This window comes from Homo sapiens, chromosome 3 (genome assembly GCF_000001405.40).
Source record: "Homo sapiens chromosome 3, GRCh38.p14 Primary Assembly".
NCBI classification, from domain to species: domain Eukaryota; kingdom Metazoa; phylum Chordata; class Mammalia; order Primates; family Hominidae; genus Homo; species Homo sapiens.
This window is the reverse complement of record NC_000003.12, coordinates 128,841,114-128,860,018: the sequence shown is the minus strand read 5'-3', so window position 1 is coordinate 128,860,018 and position 18,905 is coordinate 128,841,114. Positions and strand designations below refer to the sequence as shown.

Sequence of the window (18,905 nt, the reverse complement as noted above, 5' to 3'; positions counted from 1 at the left end):
AACTATTTTTGTAACTATTTCTGCAAGTTTGCAAGGATTTTATAAGTTCATGTTTTCCCATCTATGCAGGATGGCAAAGGTCACAAGACATGCCTGAATTGCAAAACCTGTCACAGTTTGATTAACTGCCTTTGTTCTGCTTCTGTAAGCTCGCTTTCCCCACCCCGCAAGTTTTGCACCACTGGCTAGCCACTCCCCTTCAGTCGCCTGAATAAAAGTCAAGCCTGATCTTTGTTCGTTGCTCAGCCTCTGGATATTAATCCGCTGGGCCAGTGGCCACCTGAATAAAATCCTCCTATTTCACCCTTTGGTCTCTCCAGTCTCCTGATTCCCACAACATTTTGGCAAGCCAGCCAGGAGCGGAGATGACAGGTTTACTGTCTCCTTTGCCTGTGGAACTGGAGCCCCAGGCCAGGGGAGGCCTGTGACCCCAGGGACCATCAGGAGAACTTCAACCCAGAGGGGAGATCAGCTCTCCTGTGATCCAGTGCCCCTACCCAACAGCGCAACAGAACCTAAAGGGGCTACAGGATGATTCCAGGAACAGCATGCTTCAGGACCACAGTAAGGTTCGGGGCCCAAGGCAGGACCTGTCCCATAAGGGCGGAAGGGAACCTGATCAACTCCCGGGAGTGCACCAAGTAGTCCAACCCAGGATACAAGAGTGGCTCGCAAAGTCAGATGAAACTGGCACCTAGGGCGTACAAGTAATCTGACCTAGGACGCGAGAGTGGCTCACTATTTCGGTTGAAACCTACACCCCAGCCAAACCAGGACGCGAGAGTAGCTTGCTAAGTTGGTTGAGAAAGGAAACTGGAAGCAGGGAGGTGTGTGAGTGCATGTGAAAGAGATGGTTCTGGAAGGAACCAACACAGGGAGTGACACGTGGGGGTTGCAGGTCTCTTAGCATAGACCGTATGCTTCGAGCAAAGTGTGGGACTGACCGGGACTAGTGGCAAACATCCTACGTGGGCTACCACATATGGCTCAGAAAGGTGCCCCGCAATTTAGTAATTGTGGGGGGATTAACGATCACTCCAAAGCTAAGCAGCATCTGAAAGACTCCCGCAAGGGAGACGATCTAATTGGTCTGAAGCGAAAGTGAGAGTGTGTTGTGCCAAAAAAGGAGGAAATGGGAGGGAAGTCGTCAAAACCTACCCGGTTAGAATGTATGTTAAAGAATTTTAAGAAAGGTTATAAGAGGGACTATGGAATCAAGTTGACCCCCCAGAGGTTAAGAACTCTCTGTGAAATAGAATGGCCTTCTTTTAGTGTAGGATGGCTGGCCTAAAGGACTATAGATAGAGAAACAATTGGCCATGTATATCGGGTGGTGACTAGGGTCAGAGAACAGCCAGGGCATCCAGACCAATTCCCTTATGGTCTGAATGCAGCCCTGCCTAGCAGCTTATTGCAGAACGCTCGTAGCTTGAGTTGAGCCAAAAGTGAAAGAGAATTCAGCTTCACTGTCAGCTGCAGAGACAAAGGGAAAGCCACAGGTTTTGCAGGAACCACTGGAGGAGATAGAGACCCCTCCTCCCTACACTCCAATACCCCCCTTTACCAAGGCTGGCTCCTGAGCAGCCAGACTCAGATGGTGATACGCCCCAGGCTACACCCCAGAGGGAGAAATCTGAGCTCTCATCCCAGGAGGTCAAGGAGCAAAGTCAGGATGATTAAGCAGGCTGCCTCCAGTCTGGCTGCACCCAGGTTATGCAAATGCCTCTCAGGGAAACAAGGGGACCTCTTTATTATAATGAACAGGGCCAAGTCCAAGGAGGAGAACGAACTTTCATTTACCAGCCTTTTTCAACCACCGATCTCCTAAACTGGAAACACCATACTCCCTCCTACATGGAGAAGCCCCAAGCCCTCACAGATCTATGCAGTCCATCTTCCTGACACACAGTCCAACTTGGCCAGACTGCAAACAGCAACTACTGACACTGTTTAACACCGAGGAGTGCCGGAGGGTAACCCAGGCAGCCCTCCACTGGTTAAAAGCCAGTGCACCAGAAGGCACACTTAATGTTCAGGCTTACGCTCGGGGCCAGTTCCCAGAAGCAGACCCTAACTGGGACCCAAATGATGCAACCCAGTTTCAGCACCTACAGAGGTACCAAGAAGCACTGCTGCAAGGGTTAAGGGAGGGTAGAAAGAAGGCCGTCAATATAGGAAAGATCTCAGAGGTGCTTCAGGGAATTGATGAAAGCCCCAGCCAGTTTTATGAGAGACTCTGTGAGGTGCTCCGGTTTTTTTTTTTTTTTTTTTTTAAGACGGAGTCTCGCTCTGTTTCCCAGGCTGGAGTGTGGTGGTGCGATCTTGGCTCACTGCAAGCTCCGCCTCCCAGGTTCATGCCATTCTCCTGCCTCAGCCTCCCGAGTAGCTGGGACTACAGGTGCCCACCATCACGCCCGGCTAATTTTTTGTATTTTTTAGTAGAGACAGGGTTTCACTGTGTTAGCCAGGATGGTCTCAATCTCCTGACCTCATGATCCGCCCGCCTCGGCCTCCCAAAGTGCTGGGATTACAGGCATGAGCAACTGCACCCAGCGAGGTGTTCCAGTTTTATACTCCCCCATTTGACCCCGCGGCCACTGAAGATCAGTGCATGGTGAACACAGCATTTGTAGGACAAGCCCAGGGGGACATCAGGGGAAGCTGCAAAAGCTAGAGGGCTTCACAGGCATGAATGCCACTCAGTTTTTAGAAGTGGCCACCAAGGTGTATGTTAACCGTGATCAGGAGGCAAAGAAGGAGGCTGATCAGAGACTCAGGAAAAAGGCCGATTTGCTGTTGGCAGCACTTACAGAAGGGGACAAGTGTCATGAGAGGACGTGGACATGGACATAGGTGCAGACAAGGAAGAAGTTAAATCAGGCAAAGACCCGAGAATTGGGCAAGACTAGATAGGGACCAGTGTGCGCAGTGCAAGAGGAAAGGACACTGGAAGAATGAATGTCCAGAAGGCAATAAGGGAGAGGAGGAAGCCAAGGAGCTAGAAGGCTGCCAGCTAAAGGCTATCACACCCAGAAACAGCCAAACACCGACTTTATTGGGCTGGCAGGGACTGAAAGGTATGAGGACTAGGCCAGACTGGGCTCCATCTTCTTAGGCCCCCAGGAGCCCATGTCATGGTGGAAGAAGGGGGCCACCTGATGGACTTTATAGTAAACACTGGGGCTGAACACTTGGCAGTGATACAGCCCATGACTTTAAGCCTGCTCCATCCTGAAGAAATGGTGTTAACCCTTACCATCCCGCAGGCAGAGGAATGGAGACTGTACACAGATGGGTTGCCAAAGCCAGGGCTAGATGAGCTGTATAAGTTACCTAGTAAAATTCCTGGAGTGTAGGCCGAAGATACCACCCGCCCCGGCCTGGCTGTGAACCAGGCACCAGTGATAGTGGAACTAAAATCGGGGGCAACACTGGTTCAGGTTCATCAGTACTTCCCCAAGAAGCTGTACAGGGCATTCAAGGGCATTTGAAGCAGCTATTAGAACACAGGACCTTGGCCCAATGCCAGTCACTGTAGAACACTTTTGCCAGTGTGGAAACCAAGGACTAATGAATATAGACCAGTGCATGACATGTTGCAAACCAGGCCCCCAGGGATTCCAGAAATGGAAATTACACACAGTCAACCAGCCACAAAGCTCAGGAAAAGTGGAGCACATGAATCGGACACTCAAGCAGCTACTAAAGAAATATTGCCAAAAAACTCATCTAAGATAGGATCAGGTCCTGCCCATGGTCCTCCTCCAAGTCAGGTGTACCCCCACCAAACAAACTAGGTATTCACCCTCTGAAATCTTGTTCGGCCAGCCACCCCCAACCATAGGTCAAATTAAAGGTCAAAATTAAGGTAATTCCGTGAGTTAAGGGAGCTAACCTTGAGAAGGCAGATGCAGGCCTTAGGGAGAGCCATGCAAGAGATCCATGGCTGGGTACTGGAAAGAATGCCCATAGGACTAACAGACCAAACACACCCCTTTAGACCCAGGGATTCTGTTTAGGTCAAGAAATAGAATCCAACCACTTTAGGACCCATATGGGATGGGCCCCATACTGTAATCTTGTCCACTACCACTGCTGTTAAAGTTGCAGGAATCGTGCCTTAGATCCACCACAGTTGGCTGAAACTGGCAGCCCAGGACAAGTGGACCAGCCAGCAAGACTCAGACCATCCAAACCAGCTGATCCTATGACAGGACCGAGGTGCCAGTGAAAGTGACAACAGCCCTGCTCTGGTGACTCCAGAAGCCGACCAGTCTATGCACAGCTGAAGCTTGAGGAGACAGCAGTCCTGTTAGTCACCCCAGAAGCTGACTAGTCTATGCACAGCCGAAGTTTCATCTAGGAAGTAAATGTAGTTAGAAATCTTAAGCCCAGTAATTTTCCTTGTAATCTTAATTGTTTTACTATTAACCTGTCACTGTGCTCAACCTCCTCCCCTGGATAAGGACCTCTGTTGTCCATGCTGGGTATGAACATACTATTCCTTACTTTGTTCTTGCTACTCCCTCTATCCATGTTAGAAGGAGGGGTATGCGGAAACTTTAAACTAATTGTTGCCTAGAAATTGATGACAATAGGAAGGTCATTGAAGATATAACTGCAAAAATTCAAAAATTAGCCCATGTCCCAGTCCAAATTTGGAAAGGATGGTCTCCAGATACCCTCTTTGGGGGCTGGTTTTCGTCCCTTGGAAGATTTAAGACCTTAGTAGGAATAGTTCTGGTCATACTGGGAGTCTGTCTCACACTCCCTTGTCTCCTACCTCTCCTTGTTAAAAACATCCAATCAGCCATAGAGGTTCTTGTAACCAGGTAAACCACCACCCAACTAATGGCATTAATCAAATATCAACCTTTGCCAAATAAAGGACTAACTCCTCATGGAGAATTAAATTCTGATGATAATGCTTTCTATTAAACTTTATTTATAAACAGCATCAAAGGGGAGAATTAAGCAGGAAATATAAGAAAAACAAGTAAAGGGAAAACAAGTCCAGTTGGAGCTATGATAACATTATCTGCAAGGCCAGGCAGGGGCCCCAAAGAAATGGATTCCAAGAATAGGGATGAGAAAAACAAGTTCTTATCCGTCTCCCCCTGGAATTCTCTCCCAATGCCATTATTCTTTGTTCTGCGCTTGTAACTATTTTTGTAACTATTTCTGCAAGTTTGCAAGGATTTTATAAGTTCCTGTTTTCCCATCTGTGCAGGATGGCAAAGGTCACAAGACATGCCTGAATTGCAAAACCTGTCACAGTTAACTGCCTTTGTTCTGCTTCTGTAAGCTTGCTTTCCCCACCCTGCAAGTTTTGTGCCACTGGCTAGCCACTCCCCTTCAGTTGCCTGAATAAAAGTTAAGCCTGGCCTTTGTTCATTTATCAGCCTCTGAATATTAACCCACTAGGCCGGTGGCCACCTAAATAAAATCCTCCTGTTTCACCCATTGGTCTCTCCAGTCTCCTGATTCCCGCAACAGTCAGTCCAAGGCTCAGTTTCCCCATCTGCACAAAAGGGCCCCCTCCAGCTCTGATTCCGAGGATCCAGCCTCAGTCTGTGTCTGTGAACAGTGCTGGGTGATGATCCTGTTGACCCCTCATGTGCCTGTGACAAGGAAGGTACCACAGGGACCTAGAGATGCCCATTGAACTAAGAGGACACTCAGGCCAGAGAGGAGTGGCTGCCAGAGGCTGAGCAGTGGGGCAGTGGTTCCAGCTGGGACTGGTCCCGATCTCTTATCTCCAAGTTCTCACCACTGTGCCCATATTCTTGGAAGGAGGAAGTAAGGAAGAGGTGGACTGGGCAGCCTCAGGTGGATCTGAGTCTAGCTGCACCTCAGGCAGCTGAGGGTCCCCAGGCCTCAGTTTCCCATCTCTCCCCAGCAAGGCTGTGAAGCCAGGAGCCCCTGGTGGCTGTCACACAGGTGGGCAGAGGCCCCTCCTCCAAGGTTGCTGCTGTGTCTCTTCCCTGGCCTGGAGTCTGTGTGCCCATGGCAGAGGCCACCACTGGGCAGGGTGATTACCCCGGGCCTCCCTGATACTCACCCCTGCAGATCTGGAACATCAGCCTGGAATGGAGACCTTGTCACGGCCCTCCCTGCTTGCCACCCACAGCAGCTGAACACGCCATTCAGCCGTTCAGAGGTGGAGGCAGAGCCTGCACCTGGGCTCCCGAGGGCTGGGGCTCGGGTGCCCCAAGATGGCTGCCCAAGGGCCCCGACCCCACACCTTGAAGCTCCTCACAGCTCCTCCCCAGCCCACAGAGGGGAAGTCAGAGGGCAATGGCTCAGAAAGTCCCCCACACTCAGGCTCATGTGGGAACACTGAAAAGAGGAGCTCAGGGGGACCCCATCATTGTGGGAGACGCTGAGGCCCCATAAAGCCTCATGCAGAGGAGAGGGCCTGGCTGCAGCCCCACTGTCTGCCTGCCTTCCGGAGCACCAAAACCTCCCCAGGATTTCCTTTCACTTTGAAGGCAAGTGTCTCCCAGGTATGAATACTGAATCTCCCCAACTTAATGCCAATTTGCAACCTGAGAGGGGGATCTTGTGGGCCTTGCTTGAGCTCCCCAAGGGCCCCTCAGAGTCTGTGCCCCCGCCCCGGTGCCACTCCCCTCTGGAAGTGCCGGCCCTGTGAGAAGGCACCTTCTCCAGGTCTGGCTTCCACCATTGAGGAGGCCCTTAAAAATGCCACAGTTCGGCCGGGCGCGGTGGCTCATGCCTGTAATCCCAGCACTTTGGGAGGCCGAGGCGGGCGGATCACGAGGTCAGGAGATCGAGACCATCCTGGCTAACATGGTGAAACCCCGTCTCTACTAAAAATACAAAAAATTAGCTGGACGAGGTGGCAGGCGCCTGTAGTCCCAGCTGCGCGGGAGGCTGAGGCAGGAGAATGGCGTGAACCCCCGGGGGCAGAGCCTACAGTGAGCCGAGATCGAGCCACTGCACTCCAGCCTGGGCGACAGCGAGACTCCGTCTCAAAAAAAAAAAAAAAAAATGCCACAGTCCTCAAGACCATTGGCCCAGGGAAGCCTGGGTGAGGTGAAGTTGACCCAGCACGAACTCACTGGGACTCAGGTGGCTGTAAAAATAAAATCTATAACTAGGGGCTCCCCCAGCCTTCTGAGTCTACACAGAAAGGTAGACGTCATGAAGGCCCTGAGTGTCCCATCATAATAAAGCCATATCATGTCATTGAAACCTCAGACATCCCATACTGAGCTATGGTGATACTCATAGTGAAGACCTTTTCCACCAAACACTCCAGCCTGGCCACATGGAGAAGGAGGAGGCTCAAGCCATGTTTCTGCAAATACTATCTGCCCTGTAGTACTGCCACCAAAGTCAGCCGCCAGGACCTGGGTGGCAGGACTCCTGCATGAAGAGCACAACATGAAAAGAGCTGACTTTGGCTTCAGCACCACATATTCCCAAGGCCAGAAGCTGAGCGCCTTTGGTGGGACTCCCCTTAAGCTGCCCCAGAACTCTTCCTGGGCCACGAGTATCACAGCCCTGCAGTGGTCGTGTGGGTCTTGGCTCTCCCGTCTACCACATGGGGCCAGGGCCCTGCCATTTGGCAGGCAGAACTTCTCAGCCTCAAAAAAACATACTCAAGGAAAATATGTACTGTCTATATTCCTTCCGAATTGAAATATTTATCAAGAAATTTCTGATCCTTGACCCCAGAGAATGACCCACAGAGGACCAGCTGATGCGGGACCCCTGGGTCAATGCTGGCCAGGGAACCCTTGGGCCACACATAGAGCTGCTCCCCAGTCACCTGGGCCCCCTAACAACCTGACTCTTGGTAGCCGTGACATTCTAGGCACATCAAGGAATCCCCAGTAGGAAAAAATATATATATAATTATTCCATGGCCACCTACCTAATCCTGGGGATCCCACTGACCTTCCCCATCCCCCAAAGTTAAGTCCAACTTTTCTGTCCAACCAAAGGGGAGTCAAGGGCTGGAATGTTTGGTGAAAAAGGTCTTGACTGTGGCCTTTCCCACCCTTACTTCAGAAATCCAGCAACCCAAGGAGGACCAGGGCCAGGGCAGAAGATGCCCAGAGAAGCCACCTTGCCTGCTTGTCCCCTTCTGGGCCTGGAGGTGATGTGACCCAATACCAGCACATCTCCGAGTGTGGCCCTGTGGCCTCCCCCTCCATCCAGAGCACCAGCAGCAGTGGGAGCGGCCCAGGAGTCAACTGCCCCCAGGGAACATCCCAGGACGTCAGTTCTGTCCATGTGGGAGACCCAGGAGGAGTCACCTGTCCCCAGGGAACAGCCCGGGAAGCCAGCACCCTCTCCACTGGGCATCAGATGGTGTGACCTCAGCCTCTCCCTGTGAAGAGAGCCAGGGCTGCCAGGGAGCCACTAGATTTGTCTTCAAAAACATTTTGCTTCCTCCTGGCCCCAAAGACCCACTGTGCATGGAGAAATACAGTGGCTCCAGTAAACCCAGGGGACAGCTGCGGCCCAGACACAAACCAAGCGGAGGGTGGGGGGCAAGCTGCCTTTTCTGCACTTTATTTTATTTATTATGCTTTTGTTGGTTTCTTTTTTTGTTTTTAGAAAATGTCTCTGAGTCATATGTTCATTATTATTATCATTATTATTTTGAGATGGAGTCTCACTCTCTCGCCTAGGCTGGAGTGCAGTGGCGCAATCTCTGCTCACTGCAAGCTCTGCCTCCCGGGTTCACGCCATTCTCCTGCCTCAGCCTCCCAAGTAGCTGGGACTACAGGCACCTGCCACCACGCCCGGCTAATTTTTTGTATTTTCAGTAGAGACGAGGTTTCATCATATTAGCCAGGATGGTCTCAATCTCCTGACCTGGTGATCCGCCCGCCTCGGCCTCCCAAAGTGCTGGGATTACAGGCGTGAGCAATGGCACCTAGCCGTTTATTATTTTTTAATTATTATTTTTAATTGGAAAATTATGCTTGTATTCATTTATGGGATATAATGTGAGGATTAGATAGATGTGTGCACCATGGAATGATCAAATCTTAGCATCTCCATCACCTCAGAAAGGCAAATTCCACATGAAGTTACGGAAGTCTTGATCGAAAAATGTTGACCCCGTAGAAGTAGCGAGTAGATCAATGGTGACCAGGGGCTGGGTATCAGGTGTGGGGGTGGGAAAGAGGGAGAGAATGGAGAGTTGTTGCTCAAAGGACCAAAGTCTGAGATGGACAGGAAGAAGAGGTTTTCACATCCAGTGCACAGCAGGGTGACCAGAGTCAATGAGAATGTATTGCGTATTGCAAAACACCTGAGGGAGTCCATGTCAGTCAAATGTCTTTCTGTACTTAGAATGGAGAGGACGAAGGCCCTGAGGTCCAAGAACACTACAAACATGACAGGTCAGCCACGTGTGGGCTCCAACGGCCGCATGGGAGAACTGGGCAAGACACCCTCGCTGCTGTGTGTCTGACACCCCCAGCCTGGAGGCCTTGTCCAGTGGAGGACAGAAGTGTGTAAAGTGGCAGAGGGGTCTCTGCATGGGATTCAAATCAAGTAAGCTTCTGGTAGCCGTGTGGCCTTGAAAGCATTCTTATCCAAAGGAAGGGGTGAGATGGACCGCCTGGAGCCTCCTGGACATCAGAGGGCGCCTCCATCCCACCTAGTGGAATGTAAAAGCCTGGACAGTGTTTCCTGGGGCACTTCTCCCCTGCCCTGCTCTTCTCTGTCTTTTCTTCATCCAGATGGTTCTAATTTGGCTCATGTTAGGGTAGGAGAGAAGATATGGCCCAGGGCACTGTCTCTTCCTCCTGTGTGCTCCTGCTTCCTCTGCCCTGCCACCTCCTTCTCCCCTAACCCCGCCCAGGTCACTGCAGTCCTCTCTCCATTTGGAGGCAGCCAGAGTGATAGTGCAGCCCCCCGGGAGGCCATGGCCGGGAGCTTTGTGGGCAGCAGCCAACGGAGTGCCAGAGGCACTCGACCTGCCCACGGGAGCAGCTTCCATTTGTTCACACTAATCCAGGGCGTGCCCTCACGGGGTAGCTGGGGAGCACAAACTGTGTGCACTTGGATATCCTCCAGGGATTCTGCAGAGTCTAAAGGGGACGGTGGAGGGGAAGTGTCCTCTGGCTGTGCCCCTGAAGTCTGATTGTGCCTCCGGGGTCTGCACACAGCCGCAGAGCAGGGGATGACCACAGGGCCTCTCTGGGGACACCTCCTAGCTGCCCCCACATGGCCACTGATGCACCCAGGGCCTCAGGTGTGATTCGACAGTCACTGGCCCGGGTCCCCTCAAAGCAAAACGGGGGCTCCAGGGTGGGCAAGGGTGAGGGTGTGACCCCAGAAGAGTCATGAAAGGATAAGGAGGGGAGTGGCTCTTAGTTTCTGGGCACACCCCTCCCCTCTCCTGTGCAAGGGAAAATGATAGAGGGAACATGGCAAAGGAGACCAGGCTCTGGAGAGGGCTCTCGGTCTCCACCCTCCCCAGGCAGCCTGTGCGACTCTAGCCTAGTTATTGGAGTTGGCGTTGTGCCTCAGTTAGCATAGTTCAGAGGTAGGATTTGTAGTCAGGGTAGTTAGGAGGCACCACGGAGGAGGGATCAGCCTCCAACGCACTTGATGAAGAGATCCAAAAGTGTAGGATCCTCAAGACCATCGGCCAGGGCACGTTCGGTGAGGGCACACTGGTCCAGCATATGCTGACAGGGACCCAGGTAGCCATGGAAATCATCCCGAAGAAGGCTGGCTCCCCCGCATCACTCTCCAGAGAGGTCAGTATCACGGAGACCCTCAAGCGTCTGAACATTCAGCTCCATCAGGTGACTGACACCATAGACACCGACTATTTGGAGATGGAGTGCGTCGGACGAGGACAGCTGCACCACCAGATATGCCACCACAGCCACATCGAGGAGGAGGAGGAGGCCCACACCCGGTTCAGGCAGATTCCGTCAACACTGCAGGACTGCCACTTAAAGAACATCTCACATGGAGACCTAAAGCCACAAAACATCCTACTGGATGAGGATGGCAACATCAAATACCTGGACTTTGGCTTCAGCACCACACTTACGAAGTGTGCCAGCCTTTTGTGGCACGTACCCCCTACGTGGCCCCAGAACTCTTCCTGGGCCAGGGGTGTCAGTGCCCGCCGTGGAGGTATGCTTAGAGTAATGCTACACCACATGGTAGCCGGGGCTCTGCCCTTCTACTCTATGCACATCAAGAACAAAATAAACAGGAAAGTACACATTGCCTCCATTTTTCTTTTCATTTCAAATAGATTTATTAAAAAGTTACTAACACTAGACCCCAGGGTGTGACCCCCACTGGAACAACCAATGAGGGACCCGTGGGTGGACAGTGGCCAGAAGATGCTACTGACTTCATACCAAGAATGACTCCTGAACTACCCGAACCCCAACAACGCAGCTCATGGTGGCCATGGGATTCCAGGCCAAGAGCATCTCCATGTCAAAGAAAAAACATTCAACTATCGCATGGCCACCTGCCTCATTTTAGAGTGCACAAAAAAACAGAAGAGGAAGCGCTCCACCATCAGAGCACCCTCCCTTCCTCTGGGGTTCCCACCTTTTCTTCCCCAGCCCCCAAAGTTTCCACCTTCTGGGAGAAACTGAAGAGGGCTCAGAGCGAGCCAGCTTTTGAGACTTTTAAAATTCAGCTGCCCGAGGAGGGCCAGAAGTCAGGACAGAAGACCACCATTCCTGCCAGTGCACCTGCCGGCCTGCAGAGGAAGCCAGCCATTTCCAGTGAAGTCCCCCAGCATGACTCCATGGCCTCTCCCTCCAGCCAGAGCACCAGCAGCAGTGGGTCCCTGGCTCAGTGACAATCATCACAGGAAGCCAGCGTCCTCCAAGCTGGGCAGCCCAAAGCTGTGATGTCGCCTCGCTGTCAAGAAGCTGGGGCTGCCGCAGGGCCGCCAGGAGATGCCTTTCAATGCTTTTAAAAGTATTATGTGTGTGTCCACCGAAGAAAACAAGCAAAATGATTGCCCCGACATAGTTGGATGGCTGAAGACAAAAATCGAGTAGGTGGGGCAGTCAAGCCGCACTTCCTGCATTTTACTGCATTAAGGCCCTGAGGTTCAAAAATATTAAAAACCTGTGACATGTTGGCCATGTGTAGACTGCAACAGCTGTGGGTGGGAGGCAGGCAAGAGGCCAATGCTTCCATGTGCCCAGCACACCCAGCCCAGTGGCATTCAGCAGAGGATGGAGGTGTCCAAGTTGCTGCCGGGGTCAGTGAACATGATTCTAGTCAAGACGGCATCTGGCAACCCTGCGGCCTTCAAAGGCCTCCTATCCAAAGCTACGGATGAGCTGAAGGACAGCATGACACCTCCTGGAGACCAGAGGGCCCCTCTGCCCCACCTGGTCCAGGGCACCATCTCTTCCTCCGGTCTGTCCCCTGCTTCCTCTGCCCTGCCCCCTTCCCCTTCCTCCCTGCCCAGCTCACTGCCATCCTCTCTCCACCTTTCCAAGGTAGACATAGCTTGCTGCTCTCCTGAGGCCCCACTAAGGCTGTGACTCTGGTCCCCGCTATCCTCTTGGACTTTATTTCCCTGGCACCCTCCACACCTCCTTTTTGTTTGTCCCAGCCCCGCCCCCAACTCCCTGTCCCCCAGCTCCTCCTCTCCCATTCCTAATCCCCTCATCCTGATTCCTTTTCTCCTACATCTTCTCTAGCTAAATCATCTTTCCTTTACATGCTAATAATCTGCCCTTCTGTCCCCTAGATGTCTGCCTTGTGCAACATGGAATGATGAAAATCTAGAAACTGGAATCTAACTCCTGGCCCTAGTCAGGACTCAGGTTTTGTGAAAGGGAGAAAAAAAAAAAAGCAACTCCCCATCAAAACCAATACCTAGTCTAGAGCCTGATATAAGCGCCACTCAAAACATGTTTCCTTCCATTATTCTTCTATAGCCAGGTAACTATTCCTAAAATAGAAGCCCCTGAGACCACTGAGAAGCATTGCAGTGTGGAGTGACAAGGGTCTGAGAGCCGGTCTTACTGTCCCTTGTCCCCCAATCACAGTTAACATGAAGCCGAACTCCAGAGAAGAGCCAGGCCCATAGGGCATTTAGATTTTACTCCAAGTCTAATTCCCAGTCCAGTGCTCCTGCCTCCAGCATCTGCATTTCCTCTGTCCGCCTGGCCGAGGAAGGGGTGCGTGGCAGAGTGCAGAGCATGGGGAAAGAAAGCGAGGCCCACGGGTAGCCCCAGGAGGGCGGTGCGATGCATTCAGCTCTCGCCCCCTGCCTGGGTGCAGGCCTCCAAGTGGGTCTTCCTGTTTCTCCATCTTCTGAGGCCCAAAGCTTCCTCAGAGCCTCCGTGGGTCCCACCCCCGCACCCATCACACGGTGTCTGGGCCCTGCCTGCCTGGCTCACATCCCCACCCCCACCCGCTGCCCTAGTTCCATCCTGGGACAGCCCACTGGGCACTGCGGTTCCCCCTCTTAGAAGACTTTCACAGGCCCTGCCTGTCCCTTTTGCCAATCAAGTGAATGTCATCTCCTCAGAGAAGCCCTCCCTTAGCACCCCATCTGCAGTAGGGTCACCCCCATCTTCCATCATCACTTTTCCTGGTGTTTCCTTCCTAGCCCCTGTCCCTACTGGGAGTTTTCTGTACTGATAGACCAGTCTCTCTCGCCCACCAGGGGGCCAGCGTGTCTGTCTTCTCTGTCCCAGCACACTGAATGATTATTTGTGGGCATAAATGAAATGAAGGCCCCCGAGGTGCTGTGGCCCTGGTGCAGCCACGTCCCGGCGGGCGGCACTGAGGAAGGACAAGCTCCAAAACCCAGGGCTCCAAAGGACCCATGGAAGGTCGGGAGGCTCAGAGGAGTGACCCCGCGGCTGGGCCAGCGCTTTGAGGCCCGTAGGGACCCAGCTGATAGGGCTTGGGTGAGACCTCCGGAGGCGCTGAGCGGGCCGGGAGCCGCGGGACCTGCAGAGGGCGCCAGTCCGTGTGGGGGCAGCAGCGCCAGAGGGCCCTTGGCCTTGGCCTTTGGCGGTTGAGTGTGGGTTTTTGGCGGTTGAGGGCGGGCAGTTGGCTGTTGGGCACCCCGCCCCTGCCGCCTGGCCCCGCCCCTGTCTCCATGGAGACCCGAGGCTACCCAAACGGCATCTCAGCCCTGCCAGGCAATCCAGGACTCCCAGCTGAGCCTGCAGCAGGGCTCCTCCCGAGGGGCTGTGCATGTTTCCCCGGGGTGGGGCTGAAGCCAGAGCCCGGAGGTTTGCCCGTGGGGCACGGATCCCCCTGTCACTCGCCCCCACGGGCTGCAGTGAAGGAGGCTCTGATGGGAGGATTTCCAGCTCCTACCCTGCAAGGATATGAACCCCAGGGAAGGCATTCCTGCTCTGGGGACTGCCTCCCTCCCCAACATCAGAGCCAGCCATCGCAGAAGCTAGGCCAAGCTGACCACTCTTGTCTGTGATCTCTGCTAGGGAGGCTGAAAGAACATCCAGCCCCACCCGTGGTTCCTTTCTGCCTCAAGCTATATGACAATACGACACCTTATCTATTTTTTCATTTCCACTGGAGACACTAGTAAAACAATTCCTCACCCTCAGCCCCAGGGAGCGGCCCCCACTAAACCAGCTGATGTGGAATTCCTGGGTCAATGCTGGCCGGGAGGTGCTGCTGACACCATACAGAGAACCTGGGCACCTGCGCCCCCTACAGCCCTGGTCATGGTGGCTAGGGGATTCCAGCCCGAGAACATCTCAGTGTCAACACTGGAAAAGAAATCAACTCTCCCATGGCACATACCTCGTTTTAGAACACACAAAAGAACAGAAGAGGAAGCGCTCCACCATCAGAGCAATGGCCCTTCCTCCTGGGGTTCCCATCTGTCCTTCCCCGTCTGCCAAAGTTTCCACCTTCCCAGCAAAACCAAAGGGGGCTCAAAGCAAGCCAGTATTTCCTACTTGTCATTTTCAGTTGCCCAAGCAGGGACAGAAGTCAGAGAAAGTCAGATAAGAGTCTTGTTTCCCCCAAGAGAACAGGACTAGGAAGCCAGAAGCGGGTTGGGGACCAGGTGGGAATGCTGTGGGCCCCCTTGTCTCCCCAGTGTGCTGCTGTCCTTAAAATCCACTTTGGGAGTGAGGGTCCTCCAGGTGTCAATACTGAATCTCCCTCCACCCAATGCCAGTTTGCAACCCCAGACGGGGTCCCTGTGGGCTCTGCTTGAGCTCCCGAAGGGCCGGCCCCTCAGAGTCTGTCTTCCCCACCTTGCTGCCATCCACCCTCGGGAAGTGCCAGCCCTGTGAGAGGAGGCGCCCTCCCCAGGCCTGGCTTCCACTGGCACTGGACAAGGCCATAATTGTTTCTGGCCCATGACCTGTGGTACAGCCTGACATCTCTTCTCTGGAAGCCAGGGCTCCAGGCTCAGCCAGCTAGGCTGGATCAAGAGACCATAGGGAAGTGGCTTCAGGCACCAGAACAAAGCCCACAAAGAGAAAGCCCCCTCCAGTATCAACTCATGCCAGGCCTCAGGAGCCGTGTGGCCCTAGGTACAGGCCGGGCAACCTTGGCTTGTTCACCTCCCTTTGCGGCAGCGTAGCTAGGAGGCACCATAGAGCCGGGATCGGCCTCCACCTCACCTGGCAAAAAGATACAAAACTATGGGATCCTTGACACCATCCGCCAGGGAACTGGCCCGGCATAGGCTAACTGGGACCCAAATTGTCCTCCAAATCATCCCTAAGAAGGCTGGCCTTGCTCTCTAGAGAGAGAGATGAGTATCATGAAGACTCTCTATCACCCAAATATCATTCAGTTCCACCAGGTGACTGACAAGGTGGAAACCATGTATGTGGTGATGGAGTACGCCAGAGGAGGAGAGCTACAGCACCAGATATGCCACCAAGGCCACATCGAGGAAGAGGAGGCCTGAACCATGTTCAGGCAGATTCTGTCAGCCCTGCACTACTGCCACTTGAAGAACATCACACATCCACACACAAAACATGCTACTCAATGAGGAACGCAATATAAAAATCATGGACTTTGGCTTTAGCATGACATTCGGGGAGGCATAGATGCTGAAAACATTTTGTGGCGCGCACCCCTACGTGGCCACGGAACTCTTCCTGGGCCAGGAGTGCCAGCGCCACCATGATTGTATGGAGCCTCCGTGCCACACTGTATTCCATGGTGGCCGGGGCCCTGCCCTTCTACTCAGGGAACCCTACAGGCCTCAAGAAAAAATGATCAGTGCAGAATACCGTTCACCACAATTTTTTTCCCCAACGAATGGAAAGACTTATTAAAAAGTGACTAATGCTGGACCCCAAGGAGTGTCCTTCACTGGAACAAGTGATGAAAAATCCATAGGTGAAAAGTGTCCAGAGGTTGCCAGTCACACCACACCAAGAGCCACTCCTGGACCACCCGAACCCCAAACAACCCAACTTGTGGTGGCCATGGGATTCCAGGCCAAGAACATCTCAGTGTCATCAATGGAAAACAAATCAACTATCCCAAGCAACCTCTCATTTTAGATCACAGAAAACAACAGAAGAGGAAACACTCCACCATCAGAGCATCGTCCCTTTTTCCTGGGGTTCCCACTGTCCTTCCCCATCTGCCAAAGTTTCCATTTCCCAGTAAAACCAAAGAAGGCTCTAAGCAAGCCAGTATTTCCTACTTATCATTTTCAGCTGCCCAAGAAAGGCCAGAAGTCAGAGAAAGTCAGATAAAATTCTCCTTCCCCGCAAGAGAAAAGGACCAGAAAGCCGGAAGCAGGCTGGGGACAGGCTGGGAGTGTTGTGGGGCCCCTTGTCTCCCTAATGTGCTGCTGTCCTTAACATCCACTTTGGGGGTAAGGGTCCCCAGGTGTCAATACCGAATCTCCCTCCACCCAGTGCCAGTTTGCAACCCCAGAGAGAGGGTCCCTGTGGGCCCTGCTTGATTTTCTCAAGGGCCCCTCAGAGTCTGTCCCTCTGCCTTGCTGCTGTGCCCCACTGGAAGTGCCCGCCCTGTGGGAAGCAGGCCTGGCTTCCATTTGCATCAGACAAGGCGAGAGTTGTTTCTGACCTGTGACCTGTGGTAGAGCTTGACATCTCTTCTCCAGAAGCCCAGGGCTCCAGGCTCATTGAGCTGGGCTGGGTCAAGAGACCACAGAGAAAGGGGCTCCAGGCACCAGGGCAAAACCCACAGACAGAAAGTGCCCTCCAGTGTCCACCCAGGCCGGGCCTCAAGAGCCATGCAGCCCTCAGTGCAGGCCAGGCAACCTTGGCTTGTTCATCTCCCTTTACCTCCAGCAGCCTCTGTTGGGGGGACATTCTTCTTGGGAGGGACTGACAGCCATGGAGGGGTGGGAGCAGGCCTGAGCAGGGTGGGGTCCCTAGAGGCAACCCAGAGAGCAGGGTCAGGCAGCCGAGGGGCTCCAGCTCCACTGTCCAGGTGAGGAAACCGAGGCTGAAGAGAAATCAGGTAGCATTTCTGATATGGTTTGGCTGTGTTCCCACCCAAATCTCATCTTGAATTGTAACTCCCACAGTTCTCAAGTGTCGTGAGGGGAATGTGGTGGGAGGTAATTGAGTTATGGGGGCGGGTCTTTCCCATGTTGTTCTTGCGATAGTGAATGAGTTTCACCATATCTGATGGTTTAAAAAACCATCTGTTCCCTTCCTCAGAAGACTTCCACAGGCCCTGCCCATCCCTTTTGTCAATCAAGTGACTGTCACCACCTCAGAGAAGCCCTCCCTGAGCACCCCATCTGCAGCAGGGTCACCCCCATCTTCCAACAGCACTTTTCCTGGTGTTTCCTTCCTAGCCCTTGTCCCTATTGGTAGTTTTCTGCACTGATAGACTAGTCTCTCTCATCCACCTGGGGGCCAGCTTGTCTATCTTCTCTGTCCCTGCACACGGGAGATGCTCAATAATCATTTGTCAGCAAAAATGAAACAGGAAGGCCCCTGAGGTGCTGGGATTCGGAGCCGTACACCCCAGGTGAGGAAGGAGCCTTGAGGAAGGGGAGAGTGTCAGGCCTCTGAGCCCAAGCTAAGCCATCATATCCCCTGTGACCTGCACGTATACATCCAGATGGCCTGAAGTAACTGAAGATCCACAAAAGAAGTGAAAATAGCCTTAACTGATGACATTCCACCATTGTGATTTGTTTCTGCCCCACCCTAACTGATCAATGTACTTTGTAATCTCCTCCACCCTTAAGAAGATTCTTTGTAATTCTCCCCACCCTTGAGAATGTACTTTGTGAGATCCACCCCCTGCCCCCAAAACATTGCTCCTAACTCTACCGCCTATCCCAAAACCTGTAAGAACTAATGATAATCCCACCACCCTTTGCTGACTCTCTTTTTGGACTCAGCCCGCCTGCACCCAGGTGAAATAAACAGCCTTGTTGCTCACACAAAGCCTGTTTGGTGGTCTCTTCACACAGACGTGTTAGACATTTGGTGCCGAAGACCCGGGTCAGAGGGACTCCTTCGGGAGTCCCTTGTCCTCACCCTCACTTCGTGAAGAGATCCACCTACAATCTCCGGTCCTCAGACCAACCAGTCCAAGGAACATCGCACCAATTTCAAATTGGGTAAGCGGTCTTTTCACTCTCTTCTCCAGCCTCTCTCGCTACCCTTCAATCTTCCTCTCTTGCTACCCTTTGATCTCCCTGTCCTTCCAATTCCAGTTCTTTTTCCTCTCTAGTAGAGACAAAGGAGACACATTTTATCCATGGACCCAAAACTCCGGCGCTGATCACGGACTCAGGAAGACAGCCTTCCCTTGGTGTTTAATCATTGCGGGGATGCCTGCCTGATTATTCACTCACTCTCCATTGGTGTCTGATCACCGCGGGGACGCCTGCCTTGGTCATTCACCCACATTCCCTTGGTGGCAAGTCAATTGCGGGGATGCCTGCTTTGGCTGCTCACCCA

At 52.9% G+C, this 18,905-nt stretch overlaps 1 non-coding gene and 3 pseudogenes across 1 annotated transcript, besides 6 other annotated features; 3 read left to right on the top strand and 1 right to left on the bottom strand.

The window, feature by feature from the left end:
* MARK2P6 (MARK2 pseudogene 6) lies at positions 7,011 to 8,399 on the top strand (annotated as a pseudogene).
* MARK3P3 (microtubule affinity regulating kinase 3 pseudogene 3) lies at positions 10,608 to 12,326 on the top strand (annotated as a pseudogene).
* Positions 11,746 to 12,743: an enhancer, noted in NCBI's record as "H3K4me1 hESC enhancer chr3:128566119-128567116 (GRCh37/hg19 assembly coordinates)". NCBI's record gives its function as "activates a minimal SCP1, AML or CMV promoter by ChIP-STARR-seq in primed H9 embryonic stem cells {active_cell/tissue: H9 hESC(primed)}" and the evidence as "EXISTENCE:reporter gene assay evidence [ECO:0000049][PMID:30033119]".
* Positions 12,744 to 13,741: an enhancer, noted in NCBI's record as "H3K27ac-H3K4me1 hESC enhancer chr3:128565121-128566118 (GRCh37/hg19 assembly coordinates)". NCBI's record gives its function as "activates a minimal SCP1, AML or CMV promoter by ChIP-STARR-seq in naive H9 embryonic stem cells {active_cell/tissue: H9 hESC(naive)}" and the evidence as "EXISTENCE:reporter gene assay evidence [ECO:0000049][PMID:30033119]".
* Positions 12,744 to 13,753: a biological region, named in NCBI's record as "H3K27ac-H3K4me1 hESC enhancer GRCh37_chr3:128565121-128566118".
* Positions 13,111 to 13,211, bottom strand: MIR12124 (microRNA 12124). Its single transcript, NR_162138.1, has one exon. It is a non-coding gene; the product is annotated as a microRNA 12124 (primary transcript).
* Positions 13,704 to 13,753: an enhancer, noted in NCBI's record as "active region_20497". NCBI's record gives its function as "activates an Ori minimal core promoter by ATAC-STARR-seq in GM12878 lymphoblastoid cells {active_cell/tissue: GM12878}" and the evidence as "EXISTENCE:reporter gene assay evidence [ECO:0000049][PMID:35858748]".
* Positions 13,742 to 14,739: an enhancer, noted in NCBI's record as "H3K27ac-H3K4me1 hESC enhancer chr3:128564123-128565120 (GRCh37/hg19 assembly coordinates)". NCBI's record gives its function as "activates a minimal SCP1, AML or CMV promoter by ChIP-STARR-seq in naive H9 embryonic stem cells {active_cell/tissue: H9 hESC(naive)}" and the evidence as "EXISTENCE:reporter gene assay evidence [ECO:0000049][PMID:30033119]".
* Positions 13,954 to 14,163: a silencer, noted in NCBI's record as "silent region_14713". NCBI's record gives its function as "represses an Ori minimal core promoter by ATAC-STARR-seq in GM12878 lymphoblastoid cells {active_cell/tissue: GM12878}" and the evidence as "EXISTENCE:reporter gene assay evidence [ECO:0000049][PMID:35858748]".
* MARK2P17 (MARK2 pseudogene 17) lies at positions 15,651 to 17,266 on the top strand (annotated as a pseudogene).